Source organism: Homo sapiens, chromosome 9, assembly GCF_000001405.40.
Source record: "Homo sapiens chromosome 9, GRCh38.p14 Primary Assembly".
Lineage (NCBI taxonomy): Eukaryota > Metazoa > Chordata > Mammalia > Primates > Hominidae > Homo > Homo sapiens.
The window spans coordinates 22,683,290-22,690,304 of NC_000009.12; the positions used below are offsets into that span (position 1 = coordinate 22,683,290).

Sequence of the window (7,015 nt, forward strand, 5' to 3'; positions counted from 1 at the left end):
TTAATCATTTTAACCACTAAATTCACTCTGGATAAACAAAGTGTGTATCAGATGATGTGCCCTAGAAAGGTTGTCATCCTTACAAAATGCTATGCTCTGCAGCTATGCTCTTCTCATTATCGTATTGCAAATAGTTCTCTGAAAGAAAAAACTGTTCAAACAAAATATTAAACAGCATTCATTTGTCATTTTCCTTCGGGGACTAGGCAGCAACCTGCTGTGGCTGAAAATATGTGGTCATTATGAAGCTGGTATTGAATTGTTTGTTTATCTTTAGCAGGGGAGGGAGGTTTCAATGATGTTACTATTTGATTGGTAATTTCAGGCACTTCTGCTTTCTAAAAGCGTATCCTCTGTCCAGAATTGATATTAATAAATGAGTGTGTAAATATGCTGTTTGTATGTTTCTTTTTAATGTTCATATAATTTTCAGTGTCATAAGCTCTTATCACCTGAGGAGTGATGGTGAGTTTTATTTTCTTGTTAGTGTATAGGGTTTTATATCACAGTGAGTCAGGTTGCTTGCTCTTTCAGAAACCTGAAGCATTTACTATAAATGGAGTGAGTCAGGATGTCTAAGATGCCTTGTTCACTGATGACAGTATGACTTTCGCAAGTAGATCAGAGAGAGATTTCAGTGTCTGCATGTGGTGTGCTATCTCTTTCATCTGGTCACAGGAAGCAGCAGGCACTTTTTTTTTTTTTAACGTAGAGAAACCTAGGTTCTGTTTCTCCTCTTTTTCCTGATTCTCCATCTTTTCTTTTTTTCCTTCCCATTTTCTTTCTCTCCATCTTTTTCTTGTTCTTATTCTTCTCTGCACTGGTTAATAATGGATTCAGGGGACTAAAAAGTGACATGAGAAGGTAATAGGCTACACACATCTACTCAAATCCCCCAGACAGATAAGAACCTAGTCCACTTAAAAGTAACTTCAGATACCATCCTTATAGAAATCCATGCCATCACTTAACAACTTTTACAAAATCCTTTATTCTGCTATTTAAACCTGCTTCCTTTTATAATGTGCTTAGAGAGCACAAGAAATTTGTCACCATTTTCTGAAACATTCCTTACTCAGACTGCAAAATCACTCTTTCAGCCTATTTAATTGGAAGCAGAATTAAAGCTTCATTAGCTTTATCTCTAAACTTTTTATCAATTTATGGCACTCTTCAGAGCCTCCTTTGCAGTTTTTCAGATCCTCTTTAAGTCAGAGAATGTAGAACTGTACATGTGTCTCCAAAAGATATTTGCCCAGGGCAAGTCAATGGTAAAGTTCAAAAATTTTTAAAAAGCCCTATTCATGTTCTTCAAACTCTTATGGTCACATTTGCCAAGCAGAATATGTTTAGTAAAGGTGAGGATTTGCTAGTACAAGACTCTGGTAAGGGAGATGACTTGACTGCCAGGAAATAATACAGCATGTAGAATAGAGAAAAAACATGGCTATCCTTGGATGCTACCATGTTTATTTCATACTTAGGAGAGGAGAAAAAAAGCAAACTTTGATGAAGAGCGGAAAGCTGAGAATCAGTGAGAGAAGTCTGTTTTGTTGGGGTTGTTACAATAACACTTTGCCTGAAGAAAGTACTCAACCTGGATGTATTCTGATAATATTGATTTGTGATTCTTTCCATCTAAAGAATCCTTTTGGAGAGTTAGGTGAGGACAGGAAAGTGCAGAGATGTTTAAGGAGAAGAGTTAGAGTTAGATCAAAATCTTACTTATTCAATAAACTATAAAGTTGTTTTTCCAGGCAAAAGGAGACAATTGCGGATTTTATTATTGTCTGAATGAAGGGGCTTTAATTGCTCAGATATACTGCTATGCTTCCTTGCCTCATTAAGTGCAACAGTCTGATCTTGCAGTGGGGAAAAAAAACAGGAAGAAAAGTAAATGGGGTAAAACCATGAGTTAAATAGTTAGCTTATAGCAGTATACATCCAAAACGATGTATTCTGATCTGTTCTCTCTCTCTCTCTCTGTGTGTGTGTGTGTGCGCGCGCGTGTATATGTGATCTCACTTTTTAAAAAAGGTTTGCTTTTTATCCCTTGCTTCACAAAAATATTGCTGACCATCCAACACAGTAAACTAATCGATACATAACAAAGATAGAAGCCACCATTTATTCAGATCATGCTACATGCCAGGTACTTAATATATTTAAAGTATAATATATCTAGTATACTTTATGTAATTACCTAATATAATTATTTTATCATTTAAATGTATTACCATGAATGACTAACTATATGTCATGCTCTAAGTTAAAGATACGAGCCCTGTGATGGAGGCATTTCTGTCGTTATTTTACAGATGAGGAAAGTGAAGTCCACAGAAGAGACTAGCTACAGTCTCACAGTTTGTCAGTGGCAAAACTTAGTTTTGAATTCAAGTCTCTCTCACACTAAAGTTGATGTTTTTCCTAACACATTCCTGTTACTCTGCTGGACTTGTCAGATTTATCTGGTATCTCAAAAGATTCATGTAAGAGAACCAGAGTTTTTCATCCATAACACTACCTCCAAGAGAGATAAGGACACTAAATTGCAATGATGTAATTAAACATTTTTGGATTTTTTTCTATCAGAGAAGCCTAGAGAAGGTCATTTTTCTTTAAAAAAAAAAAATAAATAAAAATAAATAAAAGCCAGAGATAGGCAAGAGTTGCGGCTTCTGGAATTTTAATTACCAGTCTATTATAAATATGTCATCTTGGCCTATAATGAGTTATCACAATCATTAACTATTGTTGCAGTTATTGGTTGTAAAATAAAATGCAAAGTCTCAGCTATTTAATGTATGATTAATACAATTCATTTTATTGGGCTCTTACACTGTGTTTGTGGGTTTCTTTCTCTTTCTCTTTTTCGTTTTTTTTTCCCACTCTGTCTCTTTCCTTGGGCATTTTATGTGAACCACAAAATTACAGGTCTGTGTCTTATTGTACTTTATGGTTCAGTAAATTAGGCCAGGGTGATAACCTGAGGGAATATTAATAATACTTGTTTTAACAAGCCTACATTTATACCATTGTCAGGAGTTAATTGCTCAGTTATACCCCTGGTGCTCAGGATTACTGAGTACTAAAGGATAGTGGTGGGAAGGAAAGTGTTCCACTTTGGCAAAATCTACTTCCCTAAGATTTGTGTTTCTGGCAGCAAGGAGATGATTACCCTGAAATACGTGACCATTTATTGAACCAAAAATAGAAGGTGTTTTATATAGGCACTAAGTAATACTTCTAAGGTCTGAAGTCCTATGGAGCACATACAGAAAATGTTTGCAAGTTTATAAAGTGTCTGACTCTGGATATCTAGTAACCTGGAAAACACTACTATTTTATTATAAAACTGTACACCAGGGGTTCTTTGTCAGAACAGCTCCCGCCAGATGACAGGATTTATCTCCTAGAAGATGTTCTTTTGTTCTTTGTGGTCAGGCGCAGTGGCTCACACCTGTATTCTCAGCACTTTGGGAAGCCAAGTCGGGTGGATTGCTCGAGTCCAGGAGTTCAAGACCAGCCTGTCCAATATGGCGAAACCCCATCATTACTAAAAGTACAAAAATTAGCCAGGTGTGGTGGCACATACCTGTAATCCCAGCTACTTGGGAGGCTGAGTCAGGATAATCCCTTGAACTCGGGAGGTGGAGGTTGCAGTGAGCCGAGATTGCGCCACTGTACTCCAACCTGGGTGACAGAGCGAGCATCTCACAAGAAAAAAAAAAAAAGGTATTTTCTTTGCGAGGGGGAAAAGGCAGCAAATACTTTCATTTTGATCTTCTCTATGCTTTCCTGGAGGCTGAAATGCATCTACCTGATATTGGACTCAGTTTCCTGAGACCAAGACTATGTGTTAGGGTCAGAAAGGGGAATAGCTACAAAAATAGATGATGAGAGAGATTATTATTAGATAGTATAACCCTCTGGAACTTCTAGGATAGTCACATACTCACTTGTCCCGTTTAAAAGTGTAATTAGGCATTTTCCAATTGGTTTGCTACTACTTTCTTATTCAATCATTATGTTGTATGTAAGAAGAGACCAAAGCTTTAATGACTTTATTTATTTTCCTTATCTGAAATAATTAAACCTATCTTTCAGGGAATTATGCTAACTTTTTGAAGTAGCATATGTGAAAGTCCTAGCATGTCATCCTTAAGAATATGCCATCTACATGGAATATGTGCTAATATGATTCCTTGTACCCTGCACCCCTAAACTATTAATATATCAATGACTTTTCCCCCTAAGTTTTAGTGGAACTTCCACATCTTCAGGTGAGACCTCTAGACAGTAACCACCAAATGATTGTGAGAGGTGAAGCCAGCTGGACTTCCTGGGTCAAGTGGGGAGTTGGAGAACTTTTCTGTCTGGCTAGAGGATTATAAATGCACCAATCAGCACTCTGGAAAAATGCACCAATCAGCACTCTGTGTCTAGCTAAAGGATTGTAAAGGCACCATTCAGTACTCTGTAAAAATGCACAAATCAGCACTCTGTGTCTAGCTAAAGGATTGTAAATGCACCAATCACCACTCTGTAAAAACGCACCAATCAGCGCTCTGTGTCTAGCTAAAATAAACGCACCAATCAGCACTCTGTAAAATGGACCAATCAGCGCTCTGTAAAATGGACCAATCAGCAGGACGTGGACGGGGCCAAATAAGGGAATAAAAGCTGGCCACGCAAGCTAGCAGCGGCAATCCTCTCGGGTAGCCTTCCGCTCTGTGGAAGCTTTGTTCTTTTGCTGTTCATGATAAATCTTGCTGCTGCTCACTCTTTGGGTCCGCACTACCTTTATGAGCTGTAACACTCAACACGAGGGTCTGCGGCTTCATTCCTGAAGTCTGCGAGACCAGGAACCCACCGGGAGGAACAAACAACTCTGGACACACCACCTTTAAGAGCTGTGACAATCACTTGCGAAAGTCTGCAACTTCACTCCTGAAGTCAGCAAGACCGTGAACCCACCAGAAGGAAGAAACTCGGGACACATCTGAATATCTGAAGGAGAAAACACTCCAGACACACCGTCCTTAAGAACTGTAACACTCACTGCGAGGGTCAGCGGCTTCATTCTTGAAGTCAGTGAGACCAAGAACCCACCGGAAGGAACCAATTCTGGAGACAATTGGAGCTTTGAAAACTATTTAACTAAATTATAGTGGGTTCAGTATAAAAGATTGTTTTCTTCCCTCCCTTCTCTTTTTTTTTTTCCTTATTCCTATCCTGCTATAGTATTTTCTGCCATGTTATGCACGTACATTTAAAAAATTACTCACCAATCCAATAAAAAACATACTGCTGCCTTATTGTGCCTTGGAATGTGTGATAAATGGTATACGATCACCACCGCTATTGGAAGTGGTAGAGCAACAGGAGGTCAGAAGTTGTAGTCAGACTGCTTCGAGTCTTACCCTAGCTTTACTATTTGCTGGCCATGTGGGAAAATTACCTGAAATATCTAAACATTAATTTAGAATGTGCAATGAAACATGTACAATGTAGAATGTTTTCACATAGAATGTCAAATGAAGATAATAGAAGCTCAGGCTGACGACCCAGATTTTGGGGTTCAAACCTTGACTCTGCCATTTACTTGTTCTGTGAACTTGGGTAAGTGATGTAACCTCTCTGTGCCTCTATTTTGTTTTCTATAAAGTAGATTACTGTAAAAATTAAATGAATTAAAACATGCCTTATGTTTAGAAAAGCATCTGGCACACATAAGTCCTCAATCAATGTTAGTGTTCTTGTTCTTTGTTGCTTTTATTACCTATCGTTTTACATTACTTAGGGAAATACATGCAAATAATAAATACTTAGTCAATGTTAATTATTATGTGACAGGTCCTCCCCTTACATAATTGACACACATTTAAAGAACAGGTCAGTATGGGATAAGTATTGTCTGCATGGTACATATGATAAGCACTTTGTGAGTTTAGTTGGAGGGACTATCATTTCACAGAAATGACAGCTAAATGTAAAGACCTCAAAAGGCTAAGTAGTGGTAAAGATGTGGAGCTACTAGAACTCTGGTATAAATGTAAATATGGACAATTATTTTGTAAAAAGCATTCAACAACAATATTCAGTACCTAATAAAGTTCAAACTTTGTCTTATGAGCTACTGACTTTACTCTTAGATACATACCCAGGAAAAATGAGTGCATTTTACAACAAAAGATTCATAACAGCTAAAAACTGGAAAAAAAATTAAAATCAGAATGATGAGTTAGGAAAATATGTGAAATATTCATATGAAATATTATAAAGTAATGAAAATGATACGTAAGTTCAACAATATGGGTGACTCTCACAAGCATAATGTTCAGTAAAGTAAGCCAGGTACAAAAAAGCACATACCATAAGGCTGTTTTTATATAATATTTTAAATACGCAAAATTCCGTGGTGACATGTCACAATAGTAATTGTCTTTGGCGAGGTAAGTAGCAACTTGGAAAGTGCATGAGAAGGGCTTCTGAGGTGCCAGTTATGATTTTAAAATTGCATTTACTTTGTGAAAATTGATTAACCACAATTTTATGTGTTCTTTTCTTTATAGGTTTTATTTCAATAAACACTTTGAAAAGGAATAAAATGATAAAATCATTGATTGTTTCAGATTTATCTAACAATACAATTTCGGAAATTATTCTAGGTTATTGGTTTTCAAAGGCTGAAACAAAGTCCAGTATCTGTACCTTGAACTACCTGGCTTTGACTACACCTAAAATAGTAACATATTTATTAAGTTCTTGAGGTTTATAAATGGAAGGTTTTTTTTTTTTTAAACCCAACTGAATAGTCTTTTAAAATATTATTTAAATGGTACAAAATTATAATAGCTGGAAATGATATTTTATCCTCTAGCATCATTAAAACTTCTTATGCCTTGCCTTTTTTGAGGTGGAGTACAGTAAAAAGTTCTTTAAAAAATAACACAAAATATAGCCATCAAAATTGACTTTTGATCCACTCTGAGCATATGTTAAACCTAGCAAA

The 7,015-nt window shown here is 36.6% G+C and overlaps 2 long non-coding RNA genes across 2 annotated transcripts in view; one reads left to right on the forward strand and one right to left on the reverse strand.

Annotated features, from left to right (window-relative positions):
* LINC01239 (long intergenic non-protein coding RNA 1239) overlaps nt 1–7,015 on the forward strand; it is a 178,014-nt gene that overhangs the window by 37,090 nt on the left and 133,909 nt on the right. The window lies entirely within an intron of this gene.
* The window catches only part of LOC107987054 (LINE-1 retrotransposable element ORF2 protein-like), a 40,372-nt gene that overhangs the window by 16,904 nt on the left and 16,453 nt on the right, over nt 1–7,015 (reverse strand). The window lies entirely within an intron of this gene.